We start from the raw sequence: 18,945 nt of genomic DNA on the forward strand, positions 1-18,945 counted from the left end.
GTATCTTTCCCCTAGTGAGATAACAGACGCCCAGAAAGAAAGAACATGACAATTATTGTGGCTGATGACTGTAATTATCTTGCTACAGGAGAAGGCCCCACACCCAAACTCTTACCAGGCCATTGTTGTCCTGGGGCTGGAGCTCTAAGCCTCGAACAATGTAAATCCTAACCGTGCATTCCTGTGGGACGCTGTCAGGTAATTCCCGAAACTGTCTGGGAGGGGCTGGCACGCTGGGGTCATCCGGCAGAGGGTAGATCCGAAAGGAGCCCTAAAAGAGAGAGACAGAAGGACTCACAGGGCCCTGGGTGGCCCAGGTAGAGGGCTCCTGGGAAGTCCCCTCCTCCGCCAGGGGTGTGGGATTGAAGGATGGAAGGCTGCCTTTTGTGAAAGAAATAATGTATATTGCACTTTGCATATTTCCAGTAGGGAAAGTGAAATGATTCTCAAGTAATTATTTGAGAGCTCACAGGGGAGAAGAGAGGGCAGAGCAGAAACTGGGAGTCAAGAGGAGAACATGGGCCAGTGTGATGGAGGAGGTGGTGGTGAGAAAGAGTGAAATACTGCACATTCTTTGAAGATAGGAATAACAATAATTACATTTTAAACCCAACGAAATACCAACAGTGATTCCGCTTTTCCTGTAGCACCTCTGTACTCCACCTCCCACTCCCAGGCAAACTCCTGTTTATCTTTCAAATCTCAGCTGAAAGGTGTCACTTCCTCCAGGAAACCTCCCTGACTGCTCCTGGGCTTGGTATGTCCTCTGGGTGCTCTCATCCAACCCCATACTCACCCCTGGCACAGCACTGGCCTCTGCATTGAGATAATCTATTTATTCTCTAGATCCTTCATTAGACTGTGGGCTTCTAGAGACGGGTGAGGGGAGCATAAAGTCTTGTTCATCACCCTATCTCCAGGGCCTAACACAGGACTAGGCATATAGTAACGCCACAAAAATTGTATTTTGAAGGAGCGAGCCAACAAGACCTGCTGGAGAGGCCACATATTTTGCCTTAAAACCAGGAGAAAGCACTGAAGCCGGATTCAGAACATACAGGTCTTAGTTCCAGTGGTCTTTATTCAGTCAAGCAGCATGGAATAAGCACCTACTATGTGCCAGGTACTAGGGACCCACAAAAGAACTCAAAGACTCCCGTCTGGCACAGCGATGTTCAGTAGGGTTGGCTCTTGTGCCATATGTGATTGCTTGGTGGGAGGCTGTACTGAGAAGGATTTGAGACCACACATCAGGCATCATCCTCTCGTCCCTTAGCAATGTCTGCTACAGGCAAAGGATTATAAAGCAGCAGCAGCACATCTGCCATGACTTTGCCAAGCGTGGTTGCAGGGAGGGGCAATTATAAAGCAGATACTTTCCATGTGTAAGATGCTTTCATGGAGGCATGAACCCAGACCTGTGGGAGCCCAGAGCAGGAGTGAGTCACGCTGCCCGAAGCAATCAGGGAACACTTGACAAAGAGAGTGACATTTGAGCTGGCGCTTAAAAGAATGAGTAGGACTTCGTCAGACCACAAAGCAGGTAGAAAGGGCACCCAGGGAAGGAAGAAGAGCCTGTCCCAAGCCTCCGACTTATTGAGAGGACAAGGTGTGTCCGGGGCTTGGGCGAGGCTCTCCCAGGCAGGAGGGTGGAGTGTGTGAGGGGGAGGGAGGCAGGGGACCATGTAGCTTGGGAAAGACTGGCTCTGCCTTTGAAAGGAGTTGCGACTTGACTGTGAAAACCCAAGCAAAGCCTTTCAGTAGTCCAGAGAGAAGATCAGATTTGGTTGCATGGAGGCTGGAGAGGAGTGTGACGAGAAAGGTGACAAGGACTGTCAAGTGAGAAGTTGTCACGATGATCCTGCTGAAAGCATGGTAGGGGCAGTAGGATGAAGAGAGGAACTAGATCTTGGAGAGACTGTATCTTAGGATTCAAGGCTGCTTGGCGTGAGCAGGGAGGCAGGAAGAGATGCGGAGATGGCTCAGTCAAGGCTGCTTGGCGTGAGCAGGGAGGCAGGAAGAGATGCGGAGATGGCTCGAGTGCTCTGGCCCCCCTCCCCCTTTTCCTTTCTGGCACCTTCCAGCATCCCTCAGAGGCTGCAGGATGTGCCCCTACCTAGACCCTGGTTGTCCTTTATCCTAGGCCTATATAGAAAATGCCAGCATCCCTCAGAGGCTGCAGGATGTGCCCCTCCCTAGAGCCTGGTTGTCCTTTATTCTAGGCCTATATAGAAAATGAAGGTGGATTTTAAACGGGACCAACACACATCTTACTCACCTTAAACTCTCCAACCACAGAAGGATCTTCATTTTCATCCGACTTGCCTCGGTACAACTTGAACGTATCTGAGAAGTCTGTCAGGCCCTCAAATTCTGCTACATTTTCTAGTTCACAATTATATATCTGAAAACCACCAACAGAGTCTTAATTTCTCATTAAAATGCAGGTAAGGTCTAAAATCAAAAGGGCTGACAGTATCAAGTGGGCCTGAGGTTGTGGATGGGGCGACCGGAACTCCCAAATCGCTGGCGGGAGTGTAGACAGATACAACCACTTTGGAAAATGTCTGGTAGTTTCTTTTGGAGTTAAGTAGCCACCTATTCTATGATCTAGAGATTGCATTCCTAGGCATTTACTGATGACAAGTGAAAACACGTACACATGGTAGAAGAATGTTCACAGCAGCTTCATTATCAGGAGAATGGAAAAATAACTTGTGGCATATCCACACAATGGAATACTACTCAGCAATGACAAGGGAAAAACTATGAATACACACAACCACATGATGAGTCTCAAAACTACAACGTGGGGATAAAAGGCCAGACACACAAAACATAAATCATACAAGTCCATTTAGAGCAAGTGTAAAATCAGGCAAAATCAGTTTGTGGTGAGAGAAATCCAATCAGTTGCTCCTAGGAGGGATGAGGATAGTGGAAAATTGACTGGAAAGGGACACGGGGAAGTTTTCTGTGGGAATGGGAATGTTCTGTCTTGTTTTGGGTGGTGGTTCACATAGGGTATATACAATAATCACAACTTGTTGAATGGATCACTTTATCGTATGTAAAATATTTCTCAATTTAAAAAGCAAGAAGGGAAGAGGATGAAGGAGGAGAAGGAAGGAAGAAGGCAGGAGAAAAGGAAGAAGGAAGGGAGGCAGGTAGGAGGGAGGAAGAAGGGAGGGAAGGCAGGAAGAAAAGAAGGAAGGAAGAAGGAAAGAAAGGAAGGAAAGAGAAGAAAGGAAGGAAAGAGAAGAAAGGAAGGAAGGGAAGGAAAGGAAGGAAGGAAGGAAAGAAAGGTAGGAAGACAGGCAGGCAGGAGGAAAAGAAGGCAGGCAGGAAGGGAAGAGGGAGTGAGGGAGGATGGAGTGTGAGGCTGATCCTTCAGCCTCATTGGATCATTTTTCTGAATGAATGGTCCTTTATATGCTAGTATTTCTTAAGCTACACTGAGAAGTTATGACAATAACATGAAAAGGTGTGGGTTTTTTTTTTTTTTGCTTTGATGGGGAAAATTATTTCAATGACCAGATATTTCTCATTCTAAAGTTTTTTTTTCTCATATACACTGTTCTGAAAACTTTAGCACTGCTTCTGCTTGAGGACACTACAGGCTGAAAATTGAATGAAGAATTAGAAAATTCAAAACATGAACAGAAAGCTCAGAGCTAGTCAGCCGTGCCTAGCTCAGTCGCTTGTCTTCCTGCTGTATACATGTTCTCACGGCTGTGATTTTATGCTGCATACATGTGACAGATTCAACTTTTCAGCTTGTGAAACCAATCCCTGTTCAAAGTACACAACAAAGCATGTTGACATCTTGTGTCATTCTGCAAAGAGCACTATGACTTCTGGGTTTCCCTGAGTCAAACTGGATCATCGTGGCCTAATTAGTGTGGTGCCAGCCCATTCCCAACCATCTGCCAGATGCCTCCAAGCCCCAATGTGGCAGTCACGTAACCATAACTCAATAGCTGTCCTCAAGTCCCTGGAATCTTGGCAAAGCCGAAACTCATGCAAGAGGGCTCTCCGGGAAGACAGAGGTTTTCCTGGGCCCTGCTCATTAGCACCCACCCAAGGGACCTTTTAGTCATCCTCTTAGCTCTGCCTGTGGCCAGTTTCAAAGGATGTTGATTCTCCACCCATAGCAGCATAGATCCAGGTACCTTGAGCTTGGAATAGCCTTTCTGAATATACTGTCCGCATTTTTCATGTTCCCCTGAGGAAGCATAAAATTTACTCCACCAGTCCACGATTTCTTCCTCCTAAAGACATGCCAAAATGGAAAAATCTTTAGTGATGTCCTGGATTTCCAATCGATGCAGGAAAATGCATTTGTAATAGTTAAGAAGAAATAGGTTCTTCTGACCCTGTTAAAAGTGAGATTATATGACTTTTGTTTACATGCACAATGGACAAAGCATTCACGACTCTCCTACTCAGAAGCTAGAGGTGAAATGGCCATTCTGGGCCGATGAAATGTGTTTGGCTTTAATGCCCACAATCATACTAGATAATGTTCTTATGTCTTTTACACACAGTCTATTAATTTGTTGGTTTTTACATTTTTATTCTATTGACTTCATATTTACATATACATATAAATTTAAAGAAAACCTCCAATATGTGTTTTCTACTATCTCATTTTCTTAGCCCTTTTAGCCAGTAATGCCTTGTAATACAATACTCACTAGCTAAAAATTGGAAAAACTGGTTTTAATTCAAGTTCCTTCCTTTATGTTATAAGCCATACCCTTATGTTTCAAGCTGTACTGGCTTGGGCAAGTTGTTTAACATCTCTGAGCATCAATTTCTTCATCCACTGAATGCAATAATAACACAATGGACAAAGCATTCACATGCTGCCTTCATCTACCTGCCTCCATGTACCTCCAAAAGTTGTTCTGGAAATCATATGGGATCTTTAGGAGAAAGAGCTTTGAAAATTATAAAACGTGAAACGAAAGGCAGGAGGCATCATGGTTCAGTTAGACCAGGGCTCCCAACCTATCCTAGGAGATGCAATCAGTCTGGGGTGAGACCAGGGCATCCAATAAGCTTTCAGAAGTTCCCCAGGAGAGTCCAATACGTAGACAGTGTTGGGAATCTCTGGTTTGAATGGGTAGTCCTTGGTTGGGCAGAAGGGACAGCATGTCAGAGTCACTTGTGGAATATTGTCAAACTATAGAAGGCCTCCCACTCAGATTTATAACAAGAATAGATTCTTATCAGACCCCCTCTTTGCTTATTTTAACCTACCTTGGAAATAATAACGCCAAAAAAAAAAACAAACAAAAAAACACAGAATGTCACCTGCAGTAGAGCCTCTTGGGGGAAAGGAAGAAGGGACAAGAAAGGCTACCACTTTTTTTTTTTTTTTTTTGAGACGGAGTCTCACTCTGTTGCCCAGCTGGAGTGCAGTGTCATGATCTCAGCTCACTGCAACCTCTGCCTTCTGGCTTCAAGCGATTCTCCTGCCTCAGCCTCCCGAGTAGCTGGCACTACAGGCATGTGCCACCATACGAGGCTACTTTTTGTATTTTTAGTAGAGATGGGGTTTCACCATATTGGCCAGGCTGGTCTCGAACTCCTGACCTCATGATCCGCTCACCTCAGCCTCCCAAAGTGCTGGGATTACAGGCGTGAGCCACCACTCCCGGCCTTAAAAGGCTACTTTTTATTCATGTTATATTATATGTTACATTATATGCTTCTTATTTGTGTGTGTGTGTGTGTGTGTGTGTGAATGCGTGTGTGTTACACATACTTACACAGAATTACTTCCCCTTTATGGGTCAGCAACCTACACATGGATTTAGTTCTTTTTTTAAATTTTGACAGAGTCTCGCTCTGTTGCCCAGGCTGGAGTACAGTGGTGCAATCTCAGCTCACTGCATTGCAACCTCCACCTCCCAGGTTCAAGTGATTCTCGTGCCTCAGCCTCCCGAAAATCTGGGATTACAAGCACTCACCACCACGCCTGGTGAATGTTTGTATTTTTAGTAGAGACAGGGTTTTGCATGTTGGCCAGGCTGATCTCGAACTCCTGGCCTCAAGTGATCTGCCTGCTTCAGCCTCCCAAAGTGCTGGGATTATAGGCGTGAGCCACTGTGCCCGGCCCCCCTAGATTTAGAAAAAAATTATTCCCAGGCTGGGCGCAGTGGCTCACGCCTGTAATCACAGCACTTTGGGAGGCTGAGGCGGGTGGATCACGAGGTCAGGAGATCGAGACCATCCTGGCTAACATGGTGAAACCCCGTCTCTACTAAAAATACAAAAAATTAGCCGGGCGAGGTGGTGGGCGCCTGTAGTTCCAGCTACGCGGGAGGCTGAGGCAGGAGAATGGCGTGAACCCCGGGGGGCGGAGCCTGCAGTGAGCCAAGATCGCGCCACTGCACTCCAGCCTGGGTGAAAGAGCGAGACTCCTTCTCAAAAAAAGAAAAGAAAAATTCTGGGCAGAAAATACATGAATCTTAAATGTAGCAAAATGTATACCATAGTTACCTTTTCTGTCAGCTGCTCGTGCACATGTCCCGTGAGGAAGAGGGCAAACCATATAACAGGTCACATAGATATGGAGACCCCAGGAACATGAAGTTTAAAGAGAAAGAAGCAAAAATTATTATTCATGCATGCCTTATATTATCAACATTTCAATGGGCTAAATTATTTAAAATTTTCTAAGTCAGGATGAGCCCACAACTGAACCCACCTTACTGGTTTCTTTTCTGAAAATATGCAAAAGGTTACACACAGTATTATAATGAAAGGCTTGGAAGTAGCCCCTTCCCTGCCCCTCATCTCATGTTTTCGATGGAGTTAGACATTTCCCAGTCGGGAGCACACAGCTCACACAGGAGCAGGGTGTGGAGCTGCTCATCCCCCTACCCCAGATCTTACGTTCGTTTTAGTTCCTTAAATATATCTCCGAACTTGGTCTAATTCTCCTCCCCACAAAAAACTGTCCTGTCACAAGATATGTTTGACTGCAATGTTATCATACAGGTACCCCCCAGCCATGCCTATGTTACAGCACCAAATAAATACTCATCCATCAAAACTGCTTTATTATGAGGATGTCAAGTTTCCATTGGCCAAATCCTTTCATGTGATTTTTTTTTAATGGAGAACCCACCCCAATCTGAGGGCCCATCCAGGAGATGAGAGAATGAAGAACTGGGAAGGGGGGCTTGAATGTGGTTCTGGTATCTGTTAGAGCATTAGCCAAGCTCGTCCTCAGCAGCAGTTTGAAGACATGCTGCCTAGACCCCTTTCTGAGATCCTAACTTTATGTTCATCCTGAAGGGCTCTTCCTCCGGTTGCCATGTGAGAGGCCATGGAGCTGCTTCCGTAGGTGCCCCTTGGTATTTTCCAGATTGATTTTTGTTCAGCACAATGCAATTGCCAAGAGAGGCAGAGGGACAGATAGATATATCAATTCTTTCTATTAGATTCATACCAAAGCAAGATTAAGGGTTAAATCATCACAGCTGAATTGAGATTTTGGAGAGAGTGATTTTATTTCCAAAGTACTCTTACATTCTCAATGGTTCCTGAGATCAGATTTTTAGAATCTGTTTGTTCACAATTCAAACCATTTCAAGGAAAATAATAGTTCATGATTTAAAAGGCTTTTTTTTTTTTCAGACTAAGTTTTGCTCTTGTTGCTCAGGCTAGAGTGCAATGGCATGATCTCGGCTCCCTGCAACCTCCGCCTCCCAGGTTCAAGCGATTCTCCTGCCTCAGCCTCCCGAGTAGCTGGGATTACAGGCGCCTGCCACCACACCTGGCTAATTTTTTGTATTTTTAGTAGAGACGGGGTTTCACCATGTTGGCCAGGCTGGTCGCAAACTCCTGACCTCAGGTGATCCACCTGCCTCAGCCTCCCAAAGTGCTGGGATTACAGGCGTAAGCCACTGTGCCCGGCCTAAAAGGCATTATTTAAGACAAGTTGCTGATTTTAAACTTTAGAATTAGTATGGGAGAATTTATTCATGCCTACATGATCATTAGTTCATGTGGAAAGGTTATGGAAGCAACTGATGTGACTTGCTTTATTATATCTAATAATAAACTTGCAATGGGAATCAAATCATTAAATGGCACAGAAGATTCTTCTTTTAGGCTTAAAACAATCACGTTTGTTTAAAGATCACTTTTCACTCCAAAATCTACTAATGGAAAGAGTTGTAAGAATAATTCAAGTCTTTAGGCCAAGGTCCCACAGTCCCAGGCAGCCTCATGCATTTGCTTATCATACATACATGCACTGTCGCTGGAGAAGCCATTTTGCTGAGTGCTGTTGACATACTGCTTAAGCACTGGAATTGGAAGGTAATTGTTGAGATGGCCATGTACACATGTCCATGTTATCTGGCTAGCACTTGACCAATTTTCCCCGAAGACTTATTTCTCACTTTTCTTGTGATAGTGCTCAGCCCATTTGTTAAGAATTTCCATGGACATCACAGAGTAATGCCATGAGTTTCCGGAGTGTGACACTGTCACTCAGAGACACAGCCTCCAGCCCCCAGCAACAGCATAGTTATTTTTGAGGCATTCCCTCCATTTACCCAGATACAAGGCCTGAATTGAGGAAGTGGTAATACATGCACATTACATGTACATTACATATACATGTAATACAGGACATCAGCAAGCTTGTTATTGGCTCTTTCAAAGTGCAACTTTGTTCATTTGACTTTGTACAGATGTGCGATGTCTACTGTGATGAACAAGTGGACTCAGATTTTTAGAGATTTCAACCAGCCTTTCTTATCAACACAGTGTACCTCAATTAGATGTTAGGAGAGCGAGCTGATTAAAGCAATTTACAATACAGTGGGAATGACTGATACTACCATCACCAATCCTGCTATGTTGCAATGTTTAACTCTATGATGTAAACTGAACTTTCATAAAGTGTTGCTACAGTAACATAGTCACATTTCTTAACTATGGTTAAGAAGTGAACGAAAATACTGGCATAGCTTGTTGACTTTATTCTTCTCCTGTTCCTCAGTTGTTCTTAGGGCTACTGAGTACACTGAAGGCATGTAATAAGAATTGACTGACGATGAGAGATGGCAAACCTGGAGGCAGATTATACAGCGAGATCTTAAACTGTCTTTTTCTAGAGCAGTTGTAAAAATCTACAGAAAAGATCTTAAGTATATTAACTTCTGCCAAGGCTACTACTATCTTATTAGGGATATTTGGGGTGGTTTACAAAGTGATCACAGTAGTTTTGGCCCATGAGATTGGAAATTTGATATTGTCGTTTGTGACTGTGTAGGATTCACAGAGAGTAGAATCAAACACACTGCTGCACAGTGCTGGCTGTGGAGACTATATTTTATATGGTCCAGTTGTTAGTGAGTTTAATGCAGTGGGATGGAAGTAGATTTTTTTTTTAAGGCACTGTTTATGGACATAACATATTAAAGTGCAATCATGTGCATTTTTGGGCTAGTTTGCACATTAAAACACGCTGTGAATGTTCATCATAACTGCCAAGAGAAACAGGGAGATATTTGGTGTTTCCTTTTTTCTGGGCTGAGGCTTTTTGCCCCCTTTCCTTCGTGTAGAAGTGGCTGGAATAGCTAGTTCTAAAATAGGGCCTTGAGTGATTATTTCAACCAATTTCTTCACTTCAAAACCACAGTGAAAATAAAAAAACCTGGGTGTCCCATACACTGATAAATATGGTCATTAGAAATTTATCAAACAATTCTGCTTTATGTAGGGGGAAGAATCTGGCGTGTTGCATGTTATCTCTGATCTGAATGTTGCAATGCTATAAATTTGCTTCTCAGACTTCGCTTTCTAGCAAATGATCTTTCTCAGACTGTCCACACCTGTGGTTCTCAGACCTGCCAGCATATTAAAATCATTTGAGGAGATTTAAAAACATACTGATATCTAGGTCCCTCTCCCTCTTGGGAGGTGGGGCCTGGGCATGGGTTTTATTTTAAGTATTCTGGGTGACTTATTAGTGAGGGTTGAAGACTACTAGTCTACACAATGTCATCATAACTGTTGATGAGTGCAAGATTTAGACTCTTGTCTGTACTCAGTCCTCAATAAATGGATTGGCTGATGATTATAATTGCAACAAACTGTTGTTTGACTGAATTCACCAAATGCTTAGACATCTAAGCATAGAAGATAAAACTGACAGCATCCACTGATCAGCTCTGAAGCCTACCTTAGAAGCCAGTAATGGTTTGGTGTCTTCCATTTCGATAACGATGTCCCGGCATGGTGGGGCAGACAGAAGGGAGGCTGCAAGACAAATACTTTCTTAATCTAAGATACTTAGAGAAATACAGTGGTGAACATTCTACTCCAAGTTCAAGTTTAACAGCCATAGGGTGGATGGTAGAGTTTATTCTTGGATGGGACTTACAGAATAGAGAGGACAACTCCTGAATGTAGAAAATAAACCAACAATCCATCACGTTTCCCCAAACATAATATGGTTTTAGACATTTTCTAGGGGATTATATGTTCATTACTGTTTTTAGACAATTAGTCCAGTGCCTATACAGAAAGTGCTCAAAAAACAATTGTGTCAATACATGTCTTTAGAGGGTGCAGGAGTAAGTGGGGAACCGACATTTTTTAATTTCAATAGCTTTTGGGGTACAAGAGGTTTTTGGTTACATGGATGAATTATATGGTTGTGAATTCTGAGATTGTAGTGCACCTGTCACCTGAGTAGTGTACATTGTGCCCAGTATGCAGTCTTTTATCCCCCTCCCCCTTCTGAGTCTCCAATGTCCATTGTACCACTCTGCATGCCTTTGTATTCCCATAGCTTAGCTCCTACTTATAAGTGAGAACATACAGAGAGCCTACATCTAAAGGAGTCTTCTTTTCTTGAAGTTTGTTCCTAAGAAACAGAAAATAAAGAAGAGAAAAATAAGAAAAAGAAGGGAAAGGAGGGGTGAGAGGCCAGGGGAAGGAGAAATATCTAATGTAGATAACAGGTTAATGGGTGCAGCAAACCAACATGGCACGTGTATACCTATGTAACAAACCTGCACGTTCTGCACATGTATCCCAGAACTTAAATTAAAAAAAAAAAAAAAAAAAAAAAAAAGAAGGGAAAGGAAAGGAAAAGAAAAGCAGGGTGGATTGTTGTATATTTCAGGCCTGAGGTTGCAGTGGCTTATTCAGCCCTTATTCTCAACAGCGTATGCAGAGGGAGAAGACACATGCCCTGACTTTATGTACAATTCCCAGAATATCTGTGACTCAGGATTTGGGGGTTAGAGCATGGACTCAGGAGTAGTCCCTGGGCTTACTACATTTGATTCAGCTAAAGGGGTGGGGGATACCAAAGCCTCACCCTGGGGCGGGGGTAGGATGAGAGGTACATCTCCCATTTATTGAGGAAGCACCAAACAGGAAGACATTTAACAGAAGGCCAGAACCTAGACAGAACAAACTCTGCCAAGCCAACAGAACTTTCTGCTTAACCACCCTGGCAATTGACATACAGGACATAAAGGAGGAGAAACAACAAACCTTTTTCGGTACCCACCATGTGCTGGGCACTGAGCTAAACACTTTACTTACATGACCTCACTTAGTACCTCAATAGTCCTGTAGAATATGTGCCATTATCCCTGTTTTAAAAATTTTAAAACAAACAGAAGCTAACAGCAAGCAAGTCACTTGCTTCAGGTGAAACAATTAGTGGTAAGTTGGGGAGTAAGTAACCTAGGTTTGGCTGACTCCAAAGCTTGTGTTTTAACCACCACACCAGAGCCTGGAGGAACCATCAGGGGGATAGCGGGGAGGAGGGGAGACTGACATTTCCTGAGCATCTGTGATATATCAGTTACTGTGTGAGGTAGTTTTAGATCCACGTGGCACCCCTAGACCTGTAAGCAGTCTCTACACTTCCAAGATAAGCTCCCCTGCAGATCCTGACAAGTCCAACAGTACAGAACAAGACAACCAGAGGGCAGGGTCACAGGAACACAACTGAACATAAGTTCTTTCCTAGAGGATCAGTTCTCCACTTCACCCTCCTCATGGAAACAAAGCCCAAGGGACAGGAGGAGAAAGTTATTCTGTGTGCTTCCAACATGAGGCCATCCAAGTGCCCTCAACTCTTAACCTATCACTGGTTTTATGAAAGGACCAGATTTTCCTTTTCTGGGGCTCTCTGAAGCCTTGACCACACTCTACATTGATTACATAGAATTGCTAGCCAGGGCAGTCTGCCTTAGACCCAGCCCACCCCTGAGCAATAGACACAAACAGGTCCACGTAAGTGATTCTGGGGCCAGAGAAAGCGTGTAGCATTTGTACCCTCTGGGTGATTTCACATATTTGGACCAAAAAACCTTCTCTCATGAAAACAGTAAGAAAAAAAAAGCCAGGAAAGTGGTTTCTCTCCATTTAGTAACCTCAAATGAAACAATTCCTGCAATTACAACAATCCTTGTTGTTATCAAAAATGCTATTTTAGGCACCGTCAATTCAGCATAAAATGTTTTATATGGGACATTTCTTAATAAGCACATGTAGAGTTTTGCTTAAATGTGACTGTGGATTTTTTTCCTCTTCTCTGAATCAGGGATCCAGGATGCTTAGTCAGACCTACACAGCAGATGAATTTCAGAGGCTCTGTAAAATCAGTACTCACACTTATGAAAGTTTTAATGGAACTAGTTAGTGACACAGCTGCTTAAATAGAAGACATCTGCTTCAGTCTTGAAGCCACCAAGGATCAGCCGAATGAGGCTGTTCCAGCCCTCCCACGGTGTCTAATTTATGAGGCCAGGGGCCCTGGGATCTCTTGCACTGATGCAATGTAGCCCCCAGCCCCTAACACAGTCCCTAGCACATGGTAAGCTAAAAGCAAGTAACTATTGAATGGGTAATTGCAAAATGCTGTATCACTAGCTATTATTTATTATGGAAATCTAAAGTAAGTATTATGCCCTGCTCTATCATTTACATATTAATTATATGTGATAATGAGGTAGGCCAACAGGTGGAAAGCAATCTGAAATAAAATCTCCTCCTCTCTCAGTGTTCATGGGGTCAGGGAGCTTCCTGTTTTCCCCATCAAGATATTTATCACACTGGACTGCAACTGCACACTTCCTCGTTTGCCTTCCCTGCTGGACTTTTGCTTTGTGAGAGGGGAACATGCCTTTCTTGGTCCCCACTGTCCCCAGATATCTAGAACAGCACGTGGCAGTCAGTGAGTGCTTCCTAACCATTCAGTGAAAGGCAGAGGAAATGACTTCATCCCCATCACTGATGTGGGAACAGCTCTCCCTGCTTTGCAAGCTGCTTGTTGAAAGGTGAATAGGGAACATTCATGAGCACTTAACACTTCCTCAAAAGAAGTCTTACATTCACCCAGGAGCAGGACGCTTCAGAGAGGAATCCCTCGAGCATGCCACCCACCCCTAAAACAAGGCCGAGATTCCAGCCCAGCTCTGCCACTTACGAATGATAGAACCTTAGGAAAGTGCCATAACCCACCGCAACTCACGCAGTTTGCTCATCCGTAAAATGTAGACAATGAATCCAGGACTTACCTTGAGTAGGTTTGTAAAGAGTAAATCAGAGCCATGCATGAAAAGTCCCCAGACGGCCGGGCGCGGTGGCTCACGCCTGTAATCCCAGCACTTTGGGAGGCCGAGGCGGGTGGATCATGAGGTCAGGAGATCGAGACCATCCTGGCTAACAAGGTGAAACCCCGTCTCTACTAAAAATACAAAAAATTAGCCGGGCGCGGTGGCGGGCGCCTGTAGTCCCAGCTACTCGGGAGGCTGAGGCAGGAGAATGGCGTGAACCCGGGAAGCGGAGCTTGCAGTGAGCCGAGATTGCGCCACTGCAGTCCGCAGTCCGGCCTGGGCGACAGAGCGAGACTCCGTCTCAAAAAAAAAAAAAAAAAAAAGAAAAGCCCCCAGACTTATGCACAGCCTTGCATGTTACCTTTGAGCTGTGGGACGATGTCCTCTTTCCCTGCATAAGGGTCACAGCGAAAGCGGTCCAGGCGCTCGATGGTGCACTGGCCGACGACAGGCTTCCGCCCAAACTGCCTGTGGTCGATGACCTTGATCACCAGTGGGGGCATGTACAATTCCTCCTTGGGCAAGAACTGGGGGTCACAAAGGTAGGTTTCATTTCTCAAGACCAGACGAGGGCAGCTTTGAGAAAAATTCCCCAGATGGACCAGTCCAGATTCTCTCTGCCACACAGCCCAGAGGACTCGCAATAGTTCAGTTACTCATGTGCCAGGCAAGGAGCTCCGTGCTTAAGAGCGTGAGCTGTCAGCCAGACTGCCTGGGTCAAATCCTGGCACTGCCACCATGAACTACCTGGCTAACCCTTCCATGCCCCCATTATTTCATGAGTAATAGTAACATTGTTGAATTACTCTATGTGAAGAGTACTTAGAATAGTACCTGACCCATGCTGTGTCCTGTAAGTGTGGAATCACTGACCCATGCTCTTTACTCTCAGTCACTGCCCTATACTCTTCCCTGTGCTCTGCTTCCTGGGAGGGGACATGCACAAGGCTAACTAGCCCAGGGCTTTGGTCATCTACTAGCCAAGTTCTGAGCAGACTTTAGAAATGGTCAAGACAAAACTGAACTTCTAAGGGAAATAACTGTGGCTGAGAGTCTCTTTGCCCTGGAAATTCAGTGTAAAAATGGATTGCTACTTTCTCCTCAACTCCCCCTGGCTCCCTCTCATGGAATTTGGTGGCTTTGGTGACAATGCCTGATTGGGGAATCATGAGCTGACCTAGGGGCCCATTTGGTATGTGGTTCAGGTGAATTTCTATCTCTGGCTTGACACAGGAATAGAAACTGGGGTCACCTGAGTGGTTTTTCTCATCTCTGCTGACCAAGGCTAGATTCCAGACTAGAACTTGGAAGGTGAGGGAGGTGTGGGGAGTAGACAAGGATAGGTGGAGTGGCCCAGGGACAACCACTTTGGGACCCTGGCTGGCAGCATCCCGGTGGCTCGCCGTCTGTCGCATGATAGGGAGGGGAGCATGGGCATTGGGGTTGTAAGGACCTATGTGCAAACTCTGGCCACTCACTTGCTAGCGACATCCCCTTGTGTAAATCTGTTACCTCTTGCTTTTCCCCAAGGTGGGCATAAGAGAGGTGAAAATGTTCACCCCGCAGGATTAAAGACGAGGTGTACCAAGTAAGAATGCACCAAGCCCTACACTGCAGCTGTCACTAGTTAGGACATAGTCACTGTGGTATAGAAGGTGTGGCCTAACACTATGACACTGGATAAATCATTTCCCCTCTTTAGGCCTCAGTTTCCTCCTCTGTAATGTAAAATAAGAGGTTAAAGCACGTGACCCTAGAGTTCAAGAGCACTGTATTGGAGACATCAAGGTCAGGAAAATGACTGGGGTGGGGAAAGGAAGGTTCTAGGTCTTCCAACACTTCAAGGTAAGAAACTGTCTTTATGTCACCTATTTATATAATAGAGTAAAAAAGAAAGATTTTTTTTTTAAAGTTAAGAAATTAACTGCTTTAAAAATGGAAAGACTGGGTGGCCTCTTCTCACCCCAGGTATTATGGGGTCTGTGATGGAGAGCTGTGAACTGGATCTGATGCTCTCACATCTTTAACAACCAGAGGGTAGCCTCAATGGACCAAAGAAGGTGCCATCCCAGGGGCACCTGGAGGTGGGGCACAGTTATGGGCTGCCAAGGTCATGGCCCTATCACCCCATATACCTTCCCCCACAGCTGCCCCTTCCCCAGACAGCCAGTCCTTATCCAGAAGGTTCTGGTCCATGCACAGTTGTAGGGGGTATATCTGGTCCATGCATGACTGGGGGTTAATATTCTGCCTTCATGGGGTTGACCAACAGCTTGTAATAGATAGCTGAATAGATGGAAAGTTTACTGGAGAAATAAGTAAGTATTGCTCACAGATATTTCTGTGCCACTGGAGTTATTTTGAAGCTTTAAGAAATCATCACTACAGTGGGAGAATTTAAGGGGAAAAAGTCACTGACAAGCTGAATATAAGGCAGGGTTTTTCTATTTGTCAGGTTTTGGAAATAAACTCTGTGTTTGTGTGTGTGTGTGTGAGGCACATACTTTCATATTTCAACGCGCATGGGTGATCACAGAGAATCGATACTGTACCACTTTCATGAAGAGAACAGAACTTGGAAAGTTGGGTGTCTTCTTAAGGTTTTTGATCACCACCGATTCCACCCTTTCTCCTCCACACTCCACAACAAGACTGGGGGATGTGATAGAAGCCATCTGGAAGTTTTTCATATTTCTTAAGCCCCAAGCTAGAATCTATGAAAACGATTTAAAGAGAGGGGAAGGTAACTCAGCACTTTAAAAATAATATTCAAAAGGAAAAATTCTGTCTTAATTACTGGCAAAGTCTTTAAGATTAATTTGAACATTATCCTAGTAAGCTTGTAGGTCATCCAAAGAAAGTGGTTTTGCCCCTTTCTTTCTCCTGCCTGAGCCCCTAAAAAAGCAATGCAGTTAAGAGTATAGGAATCAAATCCTGGCTGTGCCATCTAATAGCTGTGTCAATGCTGACAAGGTAACTCACCTCCCTATGTCTCATCTACAAACAAGACTGATCGTATTATCTGTCATAGGGTTATATTGATGACCACCTGTAAACTTTTTTTTTTTCTTTTTTGAGACAGAGTCTCACTCTGTCACCCAGGCTGGGGTACAGTGGCACGAACTAGGCTCACTGCAACCTCCACCCCCTGAGTTCAAGTGATTTTCATGTCTCAGCTTCCCAAGTAGCTGGGATTACAGGTGTGTGCCACCATGCCTAGCTAATTTTTGTATTTTTAGTAGAGGCAGGGTTCCACCATGTTGACCGGGTTGGCCTCGAACTCCTGACTTCAAGTGATCCACCTGCCTTGGCCTCCCAAAGTGCTGGAATTACAGGCGTGAGCTACTGCATCCAGCCCACCTGTAAACTTCTTAACACGGTGTCTGACATGGAAGCATTTCGAAGTGATAGCCTCAGCCTTTGAGAACTCTTAGCAGGACAGCCAGAGAAGGGAAATCTTGGGGTGTTAACAGCTGCTTGACTGGACGGGGAAAGTCTTGAGAGTGGGCCAGACACTGTCTATCAAGCCACCTTGTTGGGGTCATCAGCTTGTATCTGACATGTCAACATTGCTCACTGCTCCCATCCAACTTCCATCTCTGCCTCCCTGCCATGCCCCCATCTCTCAGCATATACACCGTCATTCTCTTCTCGTCCATCTTCCCTCTCCCAGGTCTCCAGTTGACCTGAAAAACTCAGAAACCTGCTGGCTCCCAGTAAATGAGGAGTTTAGATGCCCTCAGGAATGTTAGAATTGACCTGTCCTTGTTGCTTCAACAAGCCTTCTACTCCCATGAATACCTCCAGTTTTTGGACAAGTTGTAAAGGAAGTTGGAGATAGCAAGAAAATATGCAGCAGGATTCTATGTTCTATACAAAAGATTCCTGTCCTGCAGTCACATCCGTTTGATTTGATGAGTAACACGTGGGGAGCAGCATACCTCAATGGCAGTGAGCTGGACCACAGGCCTGATCCCCTGGGGGACCATGTATAGATTTGGCGCCCTTTGAGGGGGAAGAATGGGAAGGTTGGAGCCATCCTGTGAAACAAACATGGATATGTCAATGCCTCACTTTAGTTCAAGCAAACAGTGCCTAGAATTAACATGCATTTTAAGCAGCTGACAGAATACATGAGGAAGAACACAGCAATGTACCTTGCCCCTCAGAATCAGCTCTGCAGTTACAAGAACATCCCCGCAGGCTTTGTCTCCATTCATTACTGGGTGCCAGAGAAGTTTGGGTGTGATGTCCATTTCTGAGTTCAGTTTCACCACAGGAGAGAAAATGCTTCGTCCTAAAAATTCATCTTTGCCCTAGAGAAACAAAGTGATCCTTAAATTCCCCGACAATCATCCCTTCAAATCTCCATCATCCCCAAGTTATCTTAGAAATTCTAAACGACCTACCACTTGGTCATTGTCAAAAAGTTCCATGATAACTTTGGGTGGATTCTGTAGAACTGTTTGGGGTTCCCCATAGATTTCAACTTCATCGAATATAATTGTTTGGTCCCACGTGGGATTCAGGGTTGAATGGATGATCTCAGTGGTTTTGCTCCGATGGAGGAAACAGATATGAGCATATGGATCTAAAACAGAAAAAGAGAATAACAACGGGGCCACGGCTAAAATCTAACTCCCCAGAACCACTCAGTGCAACCATATTCTTTTCCTCTGGATATAATGACAGTGGGCTCTGACCACCTGCCTGGAGATAGGGTTTCTAGGGAGCAGGGAGTTCCCCATGGAAGGTTCTGGCACTGCAGCAGAGGCACCTGAAGCGAGACCCTGATGTGTACTGAGAGGTCACTCTTTAGAGTATGTCCCCACCAAGGTTAATGGGGCCCATAGTTTTTCTCTGCAAAAGTACTGCACTCATGGTTGAGTGAGGCTCTGCAGTCAGATACACCTGGGGTCAACACCCACACTTCACCCCTGCTGCATAACTTTGAGGGAAAAAATAATCTTCCTAAACGTTGATCCCCTCCTCCATGCAATGAAAGTAATATCTGCTTCACGGTGTTGAGAGGATGAAATGATATAAGGAATGTTAGCTATTTGGGACAGAGCCTGTCCTATAGGAAGTATCTGATAAATGCTAGTTTTTATTATAGTTGTTTCTAATGTTGATGGTAATCGATTTATTCAGCAAATATTTATTGAGTTCCAGGTCTCAAGAGTATAACAGCAGCCGGAAAAGCTCAGATGCTCATAGAGTTTACAATCTGTGACAGCAGAAAACTTTGTCTCACTATACTTAAGAATGGAGAGAAAGCAATATTATGTATGGAGAAATAATCCATGTTCTCCTCCTTGCTAAATAATTTCAT

General features: G+C 44.6%; 1 protein-coding gene across 10 annotated transcripts in view, besides 1 other annotated feature; it reads right to left on the reverse strand.

The window, feature by feature from the left end:
• The window catches only part of MYOF (myoferlin), a 175,906-nt gene that overhangs the window by 27,214 nt on the left and 129,747 nt on the right, over positions 1-18,945 (reverse strand). For 8 of the 10 annotated variants that reach the window (XM_047425049.1, XM_005269694.6, XM_005269693.5 and 5 more), the window contains 11 exons: positions 18,023-18,204; positions 17,771-17,929; positions 17,555-17,653; positions 16,166-16,327; positions 13,975-14,140; positions 10,214-10,290; positions 8,271-8,327; positions 6,511-6,522; positions 4,173-4,271; positions 2,279-2,404; positions 116-271 (listed from right to left, as the gene is read on the reverse strand). In XM_047425049.1, coding sequence (XP_047281005.1) covers positions 116-271; positions 2,279-2,404; positions 4,173-4,271; positions 6,511-6,522; positions 8,271-8,327; positions 10,214-10,290; positions 13,975-14,140; positions 16,166-16,327; positions 17,555-17,653; positions 17,771-17,929; positions 18,023-18,204 — 1,295 coding nt within the window. The remainder of the gene's footprint in view (positions 1-115; positions 272-2,278; positions 2,405-4,172; positions 4,272-6,510; positions 6,523-8,270; positions 8,328-10,213; positions 10,291-13,974; positions 14,141-16,165; positions 16,328-17,554; positions 17,654-17,770; positions 17,930-18,022; positions 18,205-18,945) is intronic. The other 2 variants (NM_133337.3, NM_013451.4) reach the window with 1 other exon arrangement.
• Positions 270-1,469: an enhancer, noted in NCBI's record as "CDK7 strongly-dependent group 2 enhancer chr10:95093669-95094868 (GRCh37/hg19 assembly coordinates)". NCBI's record gives its function as "activates an origin of replication core promoter dependent on BRD2, BRD4, P300/CBP, MED14 and CDK7 cofactors, with strong dependence on CDK7, by STARR-seq in HCT116 cells {active_cell/tissue: HCT116}" and the evidence as "EXISTENCE:reporter gene assay evidence [ECO:0000049][PMID:35650434]".

This window comes from Homo sapiens, chromosome 10 (assembly GCF_000001405.40).
Source record: "Homo sapiens chromosome 10, GRCh38.p14 Primary Assembly".
NCBI classification, from domain to species: Eukaryota; Metazoa; Chordata; class Mammalia; order Primates; family Hominidae; genus Homo; species Homo sapiens.